Below are 18,762 nucleotides of genomic sequence, written 5' to 3'. Positions count from 1 at the left end.
GATTTGAGTAGTGAGGGCCTACCCCTTCCAGTGCACTCTGTGGTCACCATTTGGCTGTAGTCCCCACTTCTCCCTATCGCTTCCCTATAGCACTGCAGCCAAATGTGAGAGGCCACTGAACAGGACATCTATCCTCTATTTCACTCAAGTAGAGACCCGTGCTGCTAAGAGAAGTGAGGAATGAATGATATGCTGAGACAGCCTGATGTTTCAAGAAACAGCTGAGCAGGCACATTTCTCTGTGAAGTGAATTGCTGGTTTGGCGGCTTCTCTCATTCACGTGACTGAGCGGCCTGGACACATTCGTGTTTTTGACCCTTGGTCTGTGGACAAACTCCTGAGGACAAGCTTCTGTGAGCGGACCCCAATGCCCAGAAGCACATCTATGTGAACCTAGAGCAGGTGACCAATAGGGAGCCACACCCCTCTGTCCTTCCCAGACCCCAGGCTGCTCCTGTCCTCTCTCCCCATGCTGGGCTTCTCCACACTGCACCCAGGATAATGCTGTTGCCTGCATCCCTGCCCCAATCTCCACCTGCATGCACATCACCATCTCTCGAGGTGGGGCAGCTAGAGGGACCCCTTCCCATCTTCCTGCTCCCACACACTCTGCTGGTACCGTCTCAGGGTGTGTGGTACCAGCTATGTGAATTCAGTTTGTATTCTACTGTGAGCTGCTTGGGGGCTGAGTCCAGGCCTGATGTATCCCCTTCCCCCAGTGCTAGGCCCATCAGGGGATTAGGGCTGTATTGATTGAATTTCTAGGTATTGAGGACCCTCATGTTGAGGAAGCCTTTTAGGTTGAGAAACTAGGCTGTGCAGATTCGAGCCACCCCCAGTGGGCCTGGATGCCCAGCCCCTCCTGATTGCAGGAAAGCAGGAACTCACTTGTGCCCCTCCCCACATTCCCCAGCTCCTGGGTTGGGGTCACTGAGAGGACATCAACTTACATTCATATAAACAGGCGCGAGTAGGGCCTGTGACCATCTGAGCACCTCTGGCAGACAGCAGCCTTCATGTCTAGCCTGCTAAAGGGACATCAGCATCTTTTCTTAGTAAGAAGGGGTTTTTGTTATTTTTTTTAGAGAGAGGGTCTCAGTCTGTTACCCAGGCTGGAGTGCAGTGACCCCCTTATAGCTCACTGTAGCCTTCAACTCCTGGACTCAAGGGATCTTCTTGCCTCAGCTTCCCAAATAGCTGGGATTACAGGTGTGTGACACCTGGCAATTTTTTAAAACTTTTTTTTGTAGAGATGGAGTCTCACTGTGTTGTCCAGGCTGGTCTCCAACTACTGGCCTCAAGCAATCCTCCTGCCTTGGCTTCTCAAAGTGCTGGGATTACAGGTGTAAGCCACCATACCCAGCCAAGAAGTTTCATGAAAGAAAGCTATTGTAAACTTTTGCCTACAAGTGTCTCCCACAAAATGCATACCTGAGAAGCTATGACTCAGGGAAACCAACCCCAGTGTTGGAAAATACCGTCTCTTCCAGAAAGGCTTTCTGGACCCCCAGGCTTGGTCAGGAGCCGCTCCGAGTTTCCAAAGCCCCTCACCCTGTTGATGTGTCTCCTCTTTTGACTGTAGGCTCCCAAGGGCATTGTGTGCGACTTTTGTCCTTTACCCCGGAGGTGACCAATGCAATTGGCTGAATGGGTTGTTGAACTGGAGCACGGTTGTCCCCAACACTATTTGTGTTTTGAAAAATCAGGACTTGGGCCAGGCGCGGTGGCTCACGCCTGTAATCCCAGCACTTTGAGAGGCTGAGACGGGCGGATCATGAGGTCAGGAGTTCGAGACCAGCCTCACCAACATGGTGAAACCCTGTCTCATTTAAATACAAAAATTAGCTGGGCATGGTGGCGGGCACCTGCAATCCCAGTTACTCGGGAGGCTGAGGCAGGAAAATTGTTTGAACCTGGGAGGCGGAGGTTGCAGTGAACCCAGATCGTGCCATTGCACTCCAGCCTGGAGGACAGGGCGAGAATCCATCTCAAAAAAAAAAAAAAAGGAAAAAAAAAGAAAAGAAAAATCAGGACTTGGGAAGTCCTCATCTCCAGGTCCGCCTGTCCCTGGAATGTTCTATGCAGGCCAGGGGTTATGGTAGAAATAGCGTCTTGTTGGCCGGGCGTGGTGGCTCACACCTGTAATCCCAGCACTTTGGGAAGCCGAGGCTAGTGGATCACCTGAGGTCAGGAGTTCAAGACCAGCCTGACCAACATGGTGAAACCCAGTATCTACTAAAAATACAAAAATTAACTGGGCGTGGTGGTGGGCACTTGTAATCCCAGCTACTCAGGAGGCGGAGGCAGGAGAATCACTTGAACCCAGGAGGTGGAGGTTGCAGTGAGCCGAGATCGTGGCACTGCACTCCAGCCCGGGTGACAGAGCAAGACTCCGTCTCAAAAAAAAAAAAAAAAAAAAAAGAAAGAAAGAAATTAAAAGAAGAAAAGAAACAGTGTCTTGTTGATAACAAACAGTCACTGGATTCTCCAGGGCCCAGTTCTAAGGAGGCTGGGGTCTTGGTGTGAGATGCCTGTGCTGGTGCAGGAGACAGAAGCGTTTTGATGGCAGCTTTTCCTATCAAATGATGAAGGAGGGAGACATCGCTGTTGAGGGAGGGGAGGCAGGCAGCCCCAGCCTTCAGTGGCCTGCACTGGGGCTCTCAGAGAGCTTTAGTTAAAGGTGACGATGGAGTTCCAGGATGGCCTGGTTGAGCCTTAGCAACAAAATGAGACCGTCTTAGTAATAGCAAGCAAGGGAAAAGCCAGGGACCTCCACATGTCCTTAGGGAGCCTGCTAGCCAGTGGGAGGGATGGCGTTGACAAAATGAATTTCCGAGCAGTTATTGGAAAAATAAAACTGTTTCATGTTTATACCTCGAGGGTTTGAGGCTCCTGGATCAAATCCATTATATTTAAATATTTACATGTACAAATACGTGTATGTATATGCACAGATCTTCCTAGGAGGCTACAGAAGAAATGTAGCAATTGCCTCTATGGGAGTGGGGTGGGGACTAGGGACAGGGGTGGAGAGGAAAATGAAGTAGAGACAGAGGAAGGAGGGAAATCTACTTTTCACCGATTCTGTTGTACCTCTTGATTTTTTTTTTTTAAACGGTAGGCATGTGTCATTTTCAATTAAAATGGACAAAGGTTTTGAAAATTTGCTGGGCAGTACTGTGTCTGACCTCAAGCTGTCAGCTGCAGTTGGAGTGGATTTCCTCTTCTTAGGGTCCCTAGTGGAGAAGGGGGTACACTTTTATGAGTGACAGGCCTGCAGTGTGCTGGCTGTGCCAGGCTGGCCAGTTGGGAGGGTCTTGTGCCACTGGCTCTGACCCCTCACTGGGCACCCGCACAGCCCCAGGCTGCAACCAGCCCCTTTGCTGCCTTCTCCTGGTTGTCCCTCAACCATCCCCTGGGCTTGGCACAGAAAGTAGGGTTCAAGGGGTGCAGCTGTCACACTCCTGCCTAGAGCCAGGACCCCCCACCCCACACCCTGCCAATTACAGAATTACACCAGCCAGAGGGCTCTCACAGGGTAGCAGATCTATGCCCCACATTTCACAGATGGAGAAACTGAGGCTCAGGGAAGGATAGTGACTCCACAGCATCAGGGCTGGGACCCAGGACCCCTACCTTCAGCACCAGAGCTCTTTGCACCCCACCTGCTGCCCAACCTGGTTTTAGTTGAGATTCCAAGGGACAGTGGCAGGTAGAGAATGAAGTTTAAATGGGTCGCCTTGACTCCTGGGGGACCCCAGACTGTCTGCCTGCTTGTAGGGGCTACTTGCATGAAATAGCTGCCCCACACCTGGCTCTGCCCACCCCTTAGCTGGGCTGCTGCCCGCCTCCTGTATCCCTCCCTTCACCCCCCATCCTCATGAAGCTGTCCCTTTCCTCTTCTTCTCCCTTATAAATCCTTACCCCCAAATCATCTCTGCTAGGAAGGTCATGCTGAATGTGACCGCTCCAGGTCTTCTGGGTCCCCAGGGAAAGATGATGATCTGAGCCTGGGGGTCTGCATGCAGGTGGGTGCCATTGTGCCCTGCCTGCCCCACCTCCTCCGCCAGAGGACAGACATGGGTTTTCTCTTGTCTCGGTAACTTTCAGTCTCAGACCCAGCCCACAGGTGCTCCCCATTCCCAGGAGGACAGCTAGGTGATACAGCCACATAGAACCCAGAGCCACAGGTCCCAGAAAGTCAGGGCTGGCAGGGCCTATAGGCACCACATAGTCAGGCTGTGAAAACAAGTTCCAAGGCCAAATCTATCTGGGATGTCTGTGTTAATATGAGACCAGCTGCTTCCTGCAGGGCTTTTCAGAGCCTTTAACATGCTGATTGGGCAACATGACTGTCCAAGATGGGGCCAGAGGGTGCTCTCACCCCAAACTTAAGACACCGCAGAATCTACTCATGGAGCAGGCAATCCATGCTGGGAAATTCTCAGGCCAGACTCAACTCATAAAGGGAAAGACTTGAGGTCCACAGGGTGGAGGGGACCAGCTGAAATGGGACCCTTGCCAGTCTTCTTACAGCACGTCTGTGCACGTGAGAACAAGGCACCCTCTCCTCAATAGCAAGGTACTGCTTTTATTAGCACAAGACCCTTTACTGCCATCTGCTGGAAATATCTCAGCAAATACACAAATCTACAACATACATGGGAATGGAGCCACCCTCCCCTTTAGATATGGTACTCTTGCCCAGTGCGTTACCTGCCCAACCATGCCTGGCAGCCTGGGGCGGAGTCATATGATCCCAACCTGCCCATCACTCCCTTTCAGCCTGCACAATAGTCATATATCCTAGGTGAGGTTTCTGAACTGACCTCACAGCCTCAGCACCCTTGGGGATACCCCCTTCTGAACTCCTCAGAGACGGACAGGGATGCTGGGGCTTCATCTCTGTGTCATCCCTCTCAACCATTACCTAGCCCCTGGCAGACTCACATGACAAACTCCTGAACAGATCCGGATGCACAAGGACCGGGATCCAGATGGACCACAGGCTCCTCCTTGCTGTGTGACTCTAGGGAAGTCCTTACCCCTCTCTGAACCAGTTTTCCCTTCTATAAAATGAGGCAGTTGGGCTTGCTCATCTCCTGGGGGTCAGATAGCTCTGAACTGACAGTGACACCTCCACCTTCCATGGAATTTTGAGAAGAGCAACGGAGTCATTCCCAATTACCAACAGGAAGACAGCCAAATGCAACCCGGATTTTATTAGACTAGGAAATATAATTTATTTCATAAAAATTAATTTTGTTACAATAGGAATGCTAAAGGTTATTTATAGGTTGCAGTTTACAGAATAAACAGAGGTGGGATTGGGGGCCATCCCTGGGGCCCTGCACCCCCCTCTCCCGGGCATATAACCATGTCCACAGACCTGGCAGGGGTCCAGCCCTTTGCCCCACCAAGAGCTCCCTGCACCAAAGCTCCTGGTCACCTCCCCTAAGGGACCCGGCTCAGCTGCCTAGGAGCTGGGGAATAGGGACCAGAGTGCCCTGGAGGGTCCAGGAGATGAGAAGGATCCCCTGCACCCTCAGGAGAACCCCTACCCCTGAGCTCTGGAGCCGGGGGCACTGTGAGAGAAGGCAGAGGGAGAGGCACGTAGAAGATACATTGACTGACCCTGTGGGCTCAGGGAGGGCAGAAGACAGGCACACCAAACCCTAGACGTCCAAACCTGGGACGCAGAGGAGCACACACACACGCTCGCTCAGGTGGGGACACGTGCACATGCTCTCCGAGGGGCATCCTGATGTGCCCACAGAGAAAAGCATAGGCACGCACACGCGCACGCACACACGCACCCCAGAGAGGAGAGAGAGAGAAATACCTGCGTAAGGGCCCTGCAACCCCCAAGGGTACCTGAGCTGCTTCCCACCAGGTACATGCCCTCGGGGGCTACCTCTTGGGTCTGAATTGGAGGAGAAACCACCCATCCCACCCCGGAGGCAGGCAGCCTCCACAGACGGATGGAGTCGGCAAAGCCTTTCTGGGCATTTCTCATAGAGCTGATGGTTTGAACCCTCCCAGGAGGCTCCAGCCAATGGGTCTGTGCTCTAGGACATGGTGCACATTTCTGGAAGTCAGACTGGAAATGGCACCTGGGTGGCTGGCTGCACTTCATCCGTCAAGCTCCTGTCCTGGGGGCAGAGCAAGCAGCTTCTGAGGGTGGGGTGGGGAGGACAGAAAAGAACAGGGAGGAGGGGCACGGCAGATCACAAGGTCCCCTACAGAAGCCTAGAACAGTGTGTCTGAACCCAAAGAGCCTCAGACCGCAGACTTCTAGGTATGAAAAGGACACTGAAGCCCAGAGAAGGCAGTGATATGCCTGAAGTCGCACAGCAGTTTAATGGCAGATTTGCAAGTTGATTCTTGGTCTTTGGACTGCCAGGCTACATGTGGGCACATTAGAGCCTGCGAGGGGAATGGCACCCCCTGTCACGGCACGTGTGGTCTAGCCTGGTCAGACTGCCCTCAAAGCCACGTGACCGAGGCCCACACGTGTTCATGGGCTAACAGTGACCAGTGAGGCCGAGCCCATGGGATGGGCACTTTGGCAGGGAAGGCTCACTGCCTTTGTCTGAGGCAGCATCCACATGGAGGCACCAGGGTCGAAAGCCTTAGTCTCAGCCTCCGGGCCCAGCCAGAGCCTAGCCCCTGATGCAGGCCTGGCCCCTCAGCAGCCCTGGTAGAAGGAATCTTCTCTCAAATCTCCAGGCAAGTCCTCCTTTGCCCACAGCCAGGCCGCACCCCAGCGGGGCTGGTGGGTGGTAAGAAGCCCCACGAGCTACTGAGTCCATGGCAGGGAAGCCAGGCTGGGGACGCTGGCTGGAACTGCGGCCCTAAAACCTGCCCTCCTCTCAGGATATCAGACTTTCAAAGGCCAGGATGTGCTGAGACGGGTCCCAGTGGCTGCTCGGAGACCTGCTGGGGCATGCCCTAGGGTCACTGCCTGGAGGTGTTGGGGAAGCGGGCACCTGCCTTGCCTGGAGTGCCAAGAGGGAGAGGCCTTTGAAGAGGCCTCTGTGCTGGCTGCAAGATCCTTGTCCCAGCCACTGCCAGGCAGCTGCACAGGGCAGGGACTCATCCCGTGCCATGCAGGGCCCCTCGAACAGGTTGGGTGGGGGTGGTATGTGCTGTCCCCTCAACCCTGGCAACCCTGCCCACTGGGAAAGGTTATTTCAGATCTCTCAGACCGTAGCGGGGTGGGTGAGAGGAGGGTTATAGGAGGTGCCTGTGGAGATCAGAGCTGGGAAACCAGCTTCTCAGCCTCCTTCTCCACTCCTGGGCATATGAAGCACAGCCAGGCCACCCGCCTCCAAGGCTCCCACGTTGCAGAGCTGACTGACACCGGGAAGCTCAGGCTTCTGCAGCTAGAGAGGACTTCTCAGCCATCACTCTGCTTTACAGAAGGAGAAACCAAGGTTGGGGAAGGGCAGATTCTGGATTCCTGGCCATCAAGAGAGCACCACGCTGCTCTAGAGGCTGCTGGGCTGAGGAGGGGATGAGGGTGTCAGGGCTGGCCCCACCCTAGGGTAAAGCTATCCAGCCGCCAGGAGAGAGATGCCCGTGGAGGACTCCCCTCCCCTACTTCATCTCTCTGTTTGAGTCCCACTTCTGGGCCACATCCCTTTCTAGGAGCCACCAGACCAAAACCAGACTGGAACATTCTCCCTGGCTCACAACTGGCCTGAGCAGTCCTCCTCTTTCATCCCAACTTTCTTAATCCAGATTCCCAGGAGTCCAGATGTATCTCCCTGGGGCTGTGGGAGGGAGGGCCCACCCACTCCAGCCCTCAGCACTCCTTGGCTTTATGGATTCAGCATCTGCTTAAGATTTTAGAGGAAAATCTAACCAGCTAAATCTAGACAGTGAAAACCCTGTCTGACCTACTCCCTGCACAACTGGGGAAACTGAGGCCTTGTCAGAATTTAGTCCAAGATGGATTCGTTAGCAGCAAAGTACTCTCTGTTCAGTCTCTCTCTCCTCAATGCACACGCGTACATGTACACACACACACACACACACACACACACACACAGGCACATTCACTCCTGGCCAGAAGTGTGAGCGTGCCCATTCTCATCCACACTCAAGAAAAGAGTTTTCTATTTTTTTTGTGTTGTTTTTCATTTTCTTTTTTTTTCTTAAAAAGGACTTATCCAAATAATCTGGATAATAAATCGTTTGCGTTTCCTAAGAAACTGGGTTTTTCTTTTCCCTTGTGGTTTTGGTGTTTTTCTTCTTCTTTGAGCCTTACTAGCGGTCTGAAGCTTTCTTTCTTTCCTTTGCCTTTTTGCTTTTGGACAGGAGAAAGCAGTTTGTCTGAATTGTACTTGACTCTTCAAAGAGGAAAAGGGCGTGGAAGCAGAAGGGGGCTTAGGGAGAAAGGAGAAATCAATAACGGAGGAAGAAAACGAGAACGGAACTAAAACCCATGGAACCCAGAAGTTGCCGGGCTGAGGGTGGGGGGGTGGAGGGAGGGCCTCCTGCCTGCCCGCCCCCAACCAACTGCCTCCAGAGGCTTCAGCCCCATCTTGGTTCCTGCACAGAGATCTCAGGCCAAGAGAGAGAGAGCGGGGGTGGAGAAGGAACTCTGGGCCCTCTAACAACAGAGTACATGGATTTTCTAAGGCTGGTCATGGTCTGGGGGTTGGGGAAGAGGAGGAGGAGAGGCAACTCTGGCTGTGAACTGGGAGGAAGCAGAGGCCAAACATCCCCATCAGGAGGCTGCCCCAGGCCTCCCTGCACCTGCCTCCTGCCAGTCCCTGCCAGCCCGCTGTCCCAGGAGGCTCAGCAGTCCCCGTCGGTGGCCACAGCCACCAGCATCTCACTCTTGCCCATCTCCTCCAAGGCACTCGCCAGGCTGTTGAGGTCCCCATCGTCCTGCTGCAGAGCTTCCCAGAGGTCCAGGATCACACCCGTGGGGCTCGCTTTGGTGGCAAAGTAATTCAGGTACCTGGCAGAGGGAAGGAGGGCACTGAGGTTCCCAAGCACTTAGCCCCTCCCCGGAGCCTGGAGGTGAAGGGGCACAAGGGGAAGTGGGAAGGCTGTGAGCTTTGGTGTCCCACTGTCCTGGGTCTGAATTGCAGCTACTGTGCTGCAGTCTGTGTGGCTCTCGGCAATTCAGAACCTATGGCTCAGAATCTCAGTCTCCTTGTCTCTAAAATGGGAACAATGCCAGTTACCGCTCAGCAAGATCCAAGATCATATAAAGTAAGGGTCTAGCGTTGTCTCTAGCATGTAACCATCTTGTTCATCATCATCATTATTATCATTGAAAGACACTGGCCCCAAGAGAGAATGACCACGTCTAGCATGTGGTCATTCCTCCCACCCGTGTTCCCTCCTGCTCCCATGAACTCCCCTGATAGGAGGAATAAAGCCTTAGCCATCTTTGTAAGTCCTATTCATTTCTAGTAAAATGTCTTATCTAAAGCATATTTTATTTATTTATTTTTTGAGACTCAATGCAGGTTTATTACACATCTTTCAATAAGTATAATATTTATTATCATTGGCCTTATATTTATCCAGCACTTATCCAGCATTTGAGGTTCTCCAAAGGAGTTTTGACACCAAAGTGTATCTTGGTCAGTCAGCAAGCATCTCGCAGCACATTCTCTGTCCTAGATACCAGGTGCTGACAATGATGGCACCAAGCTGATGCCCTGGCTTTGAGTCTCCTGCTGTTCGGTGAGATGGGCAGGTGGAGCATTATCCCCACACAATGGGAAAAGAGCAGGGTCTGAGAGTCTGCCTGGCTCAAGGACCAGTGCTCTGAGCATGATGCTCCTCAAGGGAGCAGTATTCTTGAACTTTGCATATCCAATCCTGAGTTGCTGATTTGCCACAAATGGTGGCAAAAGGGCAGCTGGTCTGGGAGATGGTCGTGGCTGTCAGGCTGCCTGCCCTGCCTGCCCCTGTGAGACCTTGAGGACGAAGGCAGATGGGGATGGGCTGTGGTTTGGGATACTCACCGGTCCATAGAGAGCTTCTGTGCTAACATCCGCCAGTCATTGCCCCGTGAGTTGGGGGCATCTAGGCTGTTGCATATCTTCTGGCGGATGGACAGTGGGATCTTGAAGGCATAAGGTCCCAGCTGGGTGGTGACAGTGCTGCCAGGGGCAGAGCAGAGAGTGTCCAGGGAGCCAGCAGGTGTCTGCAAGGGTGGGGGCCAAGAGTGAGAGGGGCACAGTGCTGGGCATCTGCCCTCCAGCCTCCCTCCCCTTGGACTGTGAGCTCATTGAGCCTTGAGTCACTCCCACCTCCTCTGGACAGACTCCCACTGTTCAGGCAGGGGCTTCTCCCTTGAAGGGTCGGTTCCCAAGGGCAAGGCCTGCATGGCCACCCTTCAGGCCTCAGGGGGTGCACCATGCTTACCTAAGGCCCCAGGCAAATGCAGATGCAGCCTCATGGTTAGGAAGCCCCAAGGAGGCCCAGCCACAGTCTAATCCACATGCACCCTCTTGTACAGGTGGAAAGTGAAGTCTAGAAAAGGGGAGTGGCTTGCTCATGGCCACATGCCAAGTTAGTGGCAGACCTGGGTCCAGACCTGTATCCAGTGCTCTTTACAATGCCCCAAGAGGAGGATCTAGTGTTGTCACCCTGGGTGGCCTGGGTTTTTAAATCTCAATCCGGATTTTTAACGGTTGAGAACCACAGGCCTGGTCCTTGCATCAACCTGGGTTCGAATCCAGTCTTGCCACTGGTGTACTGTGTGCAAATCCTTGCCCTTCCTAAAACCTACTTTCTCACCTCCCAGGTGGGGATGATATCTGTCATGCATCTCCCGGTGCTTGTGAGATCATGTAAGTTTTTTGGTATATGCCAAGCATGTGAATGGCACTCAATCAATAAATGACACTTGTTAGAAAAACATGACCAGATACCCGCTCAGACTTGGGAGGTGAGAGGGAACTACAGGGTTCTGTGTGCTGCAGCCCAGCCCCAAACCCTAGAGGTATCCTCTGGCCCTCACCTCCACCAGCGTGGTGTGCAGCTGGAATATCTGGCGGCCCTTCCCTCACCTATGCCACAGTGCTGTGCAGCCGGAATATCTGGCCGCCCTTCCCTCACCTCCACCAGAGTGGTGTGCAGCCGGAATATCTGGCCGCCCTTCCCTCACCTCCGCCAGCGTGGTGTGCAGCTGGAATATCTGCCCCACCCTTCCCTCACCTCCGCCAGCGTGGTGTGCAGCTGGAATATCTGCCCCACCCTTCCCTCACCTCCGCCAGCGTGGTGTGCAGCTGGAATATCTGCCCCACCCTTCCCTCACCTCCGCCAGTGTGGTGTGCAGCTGGAATATGTGGCCCCGACTTCCCTCACCTCTGCCAGAGTGGTATGCAGCTGGAATATCTGGCCCTCCCCTTCCACTTGCCGCACGCAGATCTTGCAGGTGAGCTCTGTGGAGGCCAAGCTGTGCCTCTCCAGGGTGAAAGTGCAGTGGAGGGCCTTCTGGCTGCCACTCCAAATGTGATAGAAGGGGATCTCCTGCAGGAGGAGGGGGTCAGGACCAGGCAGGCAAGGCCAGCCTGCCCTGTCCTCATAGAAATGGAGGCTCAGGGAGGGTTGGGAGCTTTGGGGGGCAGTTCAGGCCTCTCCACCCAGATAGGGAGGGGTCAAGTGCCCTAAGCTAGCCAGCTGAGTTGGTGTCAGGCCCTCAGTTCCAGAAGGGAGCTGAGGGTGGGTAGGTGGGGGAGGGAAAGGCACAGGTGTGTGTGTGTCAGGGGCTAGGGGGCCTTGTGGTCTCAGGCGCTGCTGGGTGGGCAGCGGGCTGTGGCTGTCAGAGATGAGATGGGCAGTCTGCCAGGAGGGCATGCCCTGAAGGGTGAGGAGCCTCTGTGAGGATGAAGGGCATAGTCGTCTGTGCGTGTGAGGGTGTGACAGGGCAGAAGTGTGCATGTGGCTGCCCATTGCCCTGAATTTGGGGACGTGCCTGGGGATGGCTGAAAGCCTAGAGACTGGGGTGGGAGGAGACAGAGACAGTGAGAGATCCAGGGAGGGGTAAGGCCACAGGACAGAGCTAGGAGGCAGGGCCCGGGAGGGAGCTGGGCTTCCCGGGCAGCCCTTAAGTGGTGCCCCTCCCCATCCATCAGCCCAGCCCTCACCTGGTATTTGGCCAGCAGCTTGCTCCTCCAATGGGCATGGGGGAGGTCATGGAGGGAGAGGCGCAGGTTGTGGTAACTGTCCTTGAACATTAGCGGTTTCGGCTCCTCCACCAAGTATCCGCCCAGAGTCCGCTCCAGCTCCAGCACCTCCTGTGGGCCAGGGGCATGGGGAAGGGGAACCCATCACACCTGGCCAATGGGCCTCTTCTGTGGCACTGTGCGGGGCAGGGGGCAGGGGCCCATCTGAGTGCATGGCTGGGCATTTGCAAGAGCTCACAGAGGGCTTATGGTGTGAGAAGATGAATAGATGACGGATGGATAGACAGACAGTGGGAAAGATGACTAGATGAATGAATCTATAGATGACCGTATGGCTAGAGGGACTAATAAATGGACAGATGGATGGATAAACGGATTGATGGCTAGAAAGACAGACAGATGAATATACAGATGGATATACAAGGATGGGTATATGAATAGAAAGATGGAAGAAAAGATAAATGAATGGATAGACGAGCAATGACTGGGTAAACAGATGGGCTGCTGACTGAATGGGTATATGGTCAGATGAACAGAAAGACAGATGGATGGATGAACAGATGGACAGATGGATGGATGGAGGGTTGAATAAACAAAGAATGCCATCAGGCCCAAACCTGGTAACTTCTCTCTTGATTTCTATACCACTCTCTGGCCAAAGCTGGCCATTAGCCAACGCCCCAGGACCAAGAGATCCAGCTGCAGGAGCACTTCCCAGGCACCTTGCACCCATCACAGGGCCACTGGCATCTCAAGCCAGGGTCCTCCCAGCAGGGGACACTCCTTCTCCCATGGGCCTTTCACCTATGTTGTCTGCAGTGTGGGCTTTGGGACAAGTCCCATGAGCCTGGGAGATGAAGGAGCTGGACGGGGCCAGGGAGCAGGAACAGAAAGTGCATGGAGCCATGGGAAAGGACCATGAGGCGCTGAGGAGGGCAGATGGGAGGAGGGAGGGGAAGGGGCTCACACACGGCCAAGTGTCTGTATGCTTCCAGGGTTACATCAGGATGAGCCTGAGCTCCTGAGAATGGGAGGAGAACTTGGGGGAATGCACAAGGGCTCTGAGGCTGGCAGGGGACAGTGGTGCTAACACGGGGCTCCATACCTGCCATCATCAGGCTCTAGGTACTAAAAGACCCTTCCCTCCCCTTCCCTCCCTCCTGTCCCAACCACCCCTCATCTGCATGACCCTTCCTTCACTTGGGGCACCGCTCTCCATCCTTCTGCATATGCTAGGAGCCTGGCTGTCAGCCTTAACTTCCCTCTCCCACTGCCCATCCCATCAGTCACCGGTTCTGTCCATTTGACTGAGCACACGCAGCATCCAGCCCCGCCTCTCCTGGCTGCTGTCACTCCCTGTGGCCCAGGGTCCAACCCCAGCTTCCCAACAGGCCTCTCCACCTCTCATCTACCCACCCAAGTATAGCCACAGGGGCTTTCTAAAGAGCACCTGTGAACAGGTGTCTACCAGGTCCATTCCCCTTCCTGCCGGATGGATTCCAAATTCCTTGGCAAGGGGCCCTGAGGCTTCTGGGAAGCTGAGCCCTGCCCATCTCGCCCGCCCTCACATTCACACATTCCCTATGCCTTTTAGTTGGTCATGCTGAAACGCTTATGAAACGCAGTCATTTCTGTCGGTCTGGAATGCCCTTCACTCCTTTCTGCTGAAACTCCTACATGTCAGCCTTCTCAGAGTCCCTCCCTACCAGCCCAAGCCCCTCCCAGTCTGATGCTCCCTCAGTCCTGGGGCAGACCCCATCAGAGCCTTCAGGGATCCCTGGTCTGCCTCCCACCTCTAACCTGGATCTTGGTGAGGCAGGCCCTGTGCCCAAGGCTGTTTCAGTGTGTGAGGGTCGCAAGCGGGACCTAATAATGCTGGTGGCGGGGAGGGGTTCCTGGGAGGACCCATGAGCCTGGGGTGGGGGATTCTGGCAGGGATCATGCAGCTGGCCGGCCAGGGCTGTGTGGGCACCTGCAGCTGGCCCTACCTTCAGTGCTACAGGCGTGTCCTCCAGGCAGTAGACCCGGAGGCTGTACTCCAGGGAGGTGCAGAGGGCGGGGGCGAAGACGGCCAGCTGGAGCCGCTTGACTGCTGAGCGGGAATAGGACTCGCCCGTGAACACGTAGGTGCCCAGCTGGTCCAGCAGGATGTGACAGGCCCTGGGCTCCAGCTGGCAGTAGCAGGGTGTGTTCAGGGTCTCCTCATCCAGGGTCACCACCTCCTGTAGGGGACAGCAAGGGTGGGGTAGTGGTCACAGTTATTCAGGCTGGGCCAGAGGAAAAGGGCTTTCTTTTGCCTCCCTGGGCAGGTTGGGAGAGCTGGGCCAGCCTTCACCGTGGCTCCTCACCTCCCAGTGGCCCTGGTGGGCCTGGGTCTTGAGCTGAAAGATCCAGTCACGGGCACTGACTTCGGCACAGTGGGGCATGGTGAGGATGACGGGGCGGCACAGCAGGAGGCCTGTGGGTCCACAGGTCACCGAGGGGCTCAATACTGTCTGGGTCCCTTCTGAAAGCGGGCTGGAGGAGGACACAGGGTAGGAGAGAGGCAGTGAAGAGCTCGGCAAAGGTGCAGGCTCCTGCTGGGCTCCCAAGTCTGCCCAGGGCCCGGGAGGTGGAGGGCAGCTCTTTGCCACTCAGGGCTCTGCATTCCCAGAGGTCATGGGGGCAAAGGAGGCAAAGAAAATGGCATGAACCTTGAGGTTGTTTCCAGATTTTTGCTATTCCACTGCAACATTATCATAGCTCAAAATTCCTGGCTTATATTTTCCAAGGTTGTGTAATCTTGGAAGGTTTTCAATAGGTCACGCTAAAGTGCCCTCCAGGGAGCTGGTTCCAATCTATACTCCCGGCCACGTGCCACAGAAGGCCATGTTCCCACCCCCTTGCCAGCAAGAGGGTATTATCATTTGGGAAAAGGTCCTTGCAAATTCCTTAATAATAATAATTTAAAAATCCCAGTATACCTTGTGGTGGTTTTCATTAGTTTTCTCTGCAAATTAGACTAAACATTTTCTCATAACCTACTGGCCAGTGTGTTTGTGTGAGACAGTGTGTGTGAATCACGTGTTCATATCCTTTGCCCATTTTCACAGTGAGATGTTTACTTTTTCTTATTGATCTACAAAATCTCTTTACATAGTAAGGATATTCAGCCCTTTGTCACACTTGTAGCCAGCTTGTCAACCGCCTTTGAGTTTTACAATTTACGGTGTTGGTTCTGCAAGTTTTCAATATGGACACAGTAAGATTAATACTTTCCTTGGAGGACTGTTTGGTCTTGGCATCAGGCTTAGAAGGGGAGCCACGTGTGGGCAGGCAGCAAGGGATGGGAGGAAGAAAAAGGAGCAGCGGCTGGGGCTCTACTCACAGGGTACTTTCTGCCTTGTTGATGAGTAGATACATCTCGTAGAACTTGCCCTGGGGAATGGCTCCATTGGGCACCAGCAAGCTGACCCCTAGGGGGAGAGGGAAGTCAGCAGGGAGTCCAGGAGCTTAGGAGAACAAGTGTTTGGGAAGTTGGCCCCAGCTTGGGGCTGGGAGAGAAAGATATCTCCTGAGCTCCAGGTAGTCCCCAGCCAGGGGTGGGAGACAGGGTCTGGGGACTGGATGCAAGCAGAGGCCAGGCCACTGACCAGTGCTGGCTTGTCTAGGAAGACAGGGGTCTCTGACATTGCTATGGTGTCTGGAGGTCCAAGTGCCAGCTCTACTCCTAGCTTAGTATATGATGCTGGGAAGCTGTTAATTGCTGGCTTTGCAAACTAAAACAGGCGCCCCTGTCCCTCTGCTGCTAGTTCCAGGACAGTGCTTTGTAGGTCTGCTGAACTACGTTGGAATATTCTCTCTCACACAACAGAGACACTGAAGCTTAGAAGATGGCTGGCCCAAGGTTCCTCTGCCCTAGTGAGGGCATAGGCAGGCTTGAAGCCTAGCTTTTCTAGTCAGACCTCTCTATTTTATACTCACTTCCTGCCTTCAGGCCTCCCTTTCCCCATCTGTGAGATGGGATTAGGGCAGCCCTATCTTCTGCTGGATGGGTGTTGGGGCAGTCCACAGAGGAGGTGCTAAGGCCAGGCTGACGCACAAGCAGGGCAGGGGCTCACCTGTGCCGGGGATGCTGAGCCTCCCACCCAGGCAGCCAAAGGTGCCGCTGACGCTGCTCCCTGGGTCTCGGGGCAGGCCCAAGAGCTGCTGGGAACCGAGGCTGGCGCTGCGCAGGTGCAGGAAGTGGGTGTCCCGGGCGAAATCGCTAGGGTATGTGCCAGGCGGCAAGACCCCCAGCAGGTCAGCCCCATCTGCCAGGCCTGGCCCAGAGCCCGTGGTGCTGGAGCTGTAGACCTTGACCTTAAGGCTGGGTAAGGGGTCCAGCAGAGGAGAGTTGGTCATGGGGATTTTGTCGGTGGAGTCCTGCAGGGCATACACGGGTCCGCGGTAGATGCCGGCGCTGGCTGTCAGGTCAGGAGGCACAGAGGGGTGTAGGAGCTGCGGGTTGCCTGCAGGAGTAGGGGCTATAGTCAGACCCAGCTGTGCCTCAGCTCACTGGCCCAGCTCCCACTGCAAAATCCCACCCAAATGTCCAGCTGTGAAAGGCCCAATTGCTGCCAGCTGCAGGAAGCTTTGGGAATCCCGCAGCCTGGGTCACTCCCTTCCTTCTCGGTAGTTCTCTAATCCATACCCATCCACATAGTTATCTCTAGAGCAAACTCTGGAAAAACCCTGGGAGGGAGTCAGGAGCCTGGCTCTGGTCTGGGTACCACCAGAGCCCTCTGGGTATCCTGCCTCTGCCAACCACCCCAGACATCCTCGGGTTCTTACTGGGCCTTGCCGTCTTAAAGTTGACGGGGTGGAAACCACCAGTCAGGGCAGCAGATGAGTCAGTGATGTCTGTGTCGAAGTCACGGCAGTTGCGGCGGTACACCACCACCCCCACCGCCATGAGGATTGCCACGACCACGAAGATGGCCACCACGAGCCCCGCATACAGCGCCGCATCCCCTGAGGCCTCCAGCACTGCGGGGACAGGAGGACCACATAAGGGGCAGCAGAGACCAGGCCCTGGGGCAATCAGGGAGGCCCTGGGTCCCTGGAAAGGGCAGGGCCCAGGGCCAACCGGCCCGGTGCTGAGTTCCAGTCTGAGCCCTGCCTACACAGGCTGGCAACCTCGGGCTAGCCTTGAACCTCTCTATCGGTAAAATGGGCTCGAAGTCCCTGCCTTACTGCCCTCCTAGTTGTGGCATGAGAAACAAAAGAACAAACATGTTCATGCCATGTGTTAATTCATTGCTTGCTGCTGATGAGACAGGGTCTGTGGCTCAGAGTCACTGGGGCTACATAATTTGCCCTGTGAGTGCTGGGGCTGAAACCTCTGAGTCTGTAGCAATTTCCAGAGGACCAAAGGTCCTGGCTCTGTTATCTTTGTATGTAGATAAGGTCTTCTGGCTCTGTTATCTTTGTAAGTAGCTGTTCTGAACTCTTCTTCCATTCCATGCTCTGAGGGTGGGAAGTGGAGGGACGGGGAGCTGAAGAAGTGGAATGAGATGCACAACAATGCGGTGGAGAAGAGGTGAGCATGTGGGAAGAAGGATGGGCCCAGGGAGGCAACCCACGGCTACACTTTCCTCCCCCAGGCAAACATGGCCAGGCGGGAAGCCTCAAGGTCAAAGTGGCAGGGTCTGAAGTAGGGTTGTCTGGTGGAGCTTTCTACAGTGGTAGAAAATCCTATGGCTGCACTGTCCCGTATGCAGCCACTAGTCACATATGGCTCCTGAACAACTCAAATGTAGCCAGTACCGCTGAGGAACTGAATTTAAAAATTTATTTAATTTTAATTAAGCTAAGTATAAGTTTGAACGGCTTTCACACTGGGCAGTTCAGGGAGAGCAAAAATGGCGGCCAAGATGGCTGCTCTTCCCCTTGCTTCCTTTGGGAGCTCCAGGAAGCACCTGTCCACGCACTTCCTCCCTGGGGGGCCCTCAGAGAAGTAGCCCTGCTTCCTCTGCCTGGAGTCCTCCACACCCTGCACTTGGCGTCAGCCTAAGGCTTTCAGCAAGGCAGGGCATGGCTCCCAGCCCCGGATGTCTGCCCACTTCCGACTTCTGTCCCCCTGTATCTCTCCTCAGCAGCCCTCACTCTTGGGCTCCCCAGAGGACCCCTCAGGGCTGGGCTCCTGGTTCAGCAGAGAAATGGTTCCCCCAGCTTGGCTCTGCCTCCTAATGCCTTCACTGACACTGGGGCCACTTGCCTGGTGACTTACACTTGAATCATCCCCAGCCCGACCCCCAGTGAGCTCGGCCGAGGGCCTCACTGATTTTATGATTCCAGAACTAACTGGAAATTGTGGTTTAATTACCATGGGCCAACCTGCTCAAGTGGCTTTGCTGCTCTGATATGATTGCAGTGGTGGCGCAGCCTCTGGGGCTGGAGGGTGAGCCCTCCAGAGCTGACGCAGGGCAGCGGGCAACAGAGACAATTTGGGAGGCTTGGCCCAGCTGCTGGGGCAGAGAGGTACAGCAAGGGGCATGAGGGGGGACTGGAGTGGTGATGTCCCGGCCTTGGCCCAGAGAGGAGGGCCAAGGGCATATGGTTAAGAACAACAGCTTTGGCT

At 54.7% G+C, this 18,762-nt stretch overlaps 1 protein-coding gene across 2 annotated transcripts in view, besides 2 other annotated features; it reads right to left on the bottom strand.

Annotated features, from left to right (window-relative positions):
- Positions 3,643-4,143: an enhancer, noted in NCBI's record as "H3K27ac hESC enhancer chr10:73063697-73064197 (GRCh37/hg19 assembly coordinates)". NCBI's record gives its function as "activates a minimal SCP1, AML or CMV promoter by ChIP-STARR-seq in primed H9 embryonic stem cells {active_cell/tissue: H9 hESC(primed)}" and the evidence as "EXISTENCE:reporter gene assay evidence [ECO:0000049][PMID:30033119]".
- The window catches only part of UNC5B (unc-5 netrin receptor B), a 90,295-nt gene continuing 76,751 nt past the window's right edge, over positions 5,219-18,762 (bottom strand). For both annotated transcript variants that reach the window (NM_170744.5, NM_001244889.2), the window contains 9 exons: positions 16,974-17,168; positions 16,262-16,651; positions 15,529-15,616; positions 14,510-14,678; positions 14,150-14,383; positions 12,123-12,272; positions 11,341-11,505; positions 9,993-10,174; positions 5,219-8,971 (listed from right to left, as the gene is read on the bottom strand). In NM_170744.5, coding sequence (NP_734465.2) covers positions 8,806-8,971; positions 9,993-10,174; positions 11,341-11,505; positions 12,123-12,272; positions 14,150-14,383; positions 14,510-14,678; positions 15,529-15,616; positions 16,262-16,651; positions 16,974-17,168 — 1,739 coding nt within the window. In that variant the 3' untranslated portion in view covers positions 5,219-8,805. The remainder of the gene's footprint in view (positions 8,972-9,992; positions 10,175-11,340; positions 11,506-12,122; positions 12,273-14,149; positions 14,384-14,509; positions 14,679-15,528; positions 15,617-16,261; positions 16,652-16,973; positions 17,169-18,762) is intronic.
- Positions 11,816-12,623: an enhancer, noted in NCBI's record as "NANOG-H3K4me1 hESC enhancer chr10:73055217-73056024 (GRCh37/hg19 assembly coordinates)". NCBI's record gives its function as "activates a minimal SCP1, AML or CMV promoter by ChIP-STARR-seq in naive H9 embryonic stem cells {active_cell/tissue: H9 hESC(naive)}" and the evidence as "EXISTENCE:reporter gene assay evidence [ECO:0000049][PMID:30033119]".

The sequence above is a fragment of the Homo sapiens genome, chromosome 10, assembly GCF_000001405.40.
Source record: "Homo sapiens chromosome 10, GRCh38.p14 Primary Assembly".
NCBI classification, from domain to species: domain Eukaryota; kingdom Metazoa; phylum Chordata; class Mammalia; order Primates; family Hominidae; genus Homo; species Homo sapiens.
Note: the sequence above shows the minus strand (reverse complement) of the source record. Positions and strands in the feature narration are given on the sequence as shown.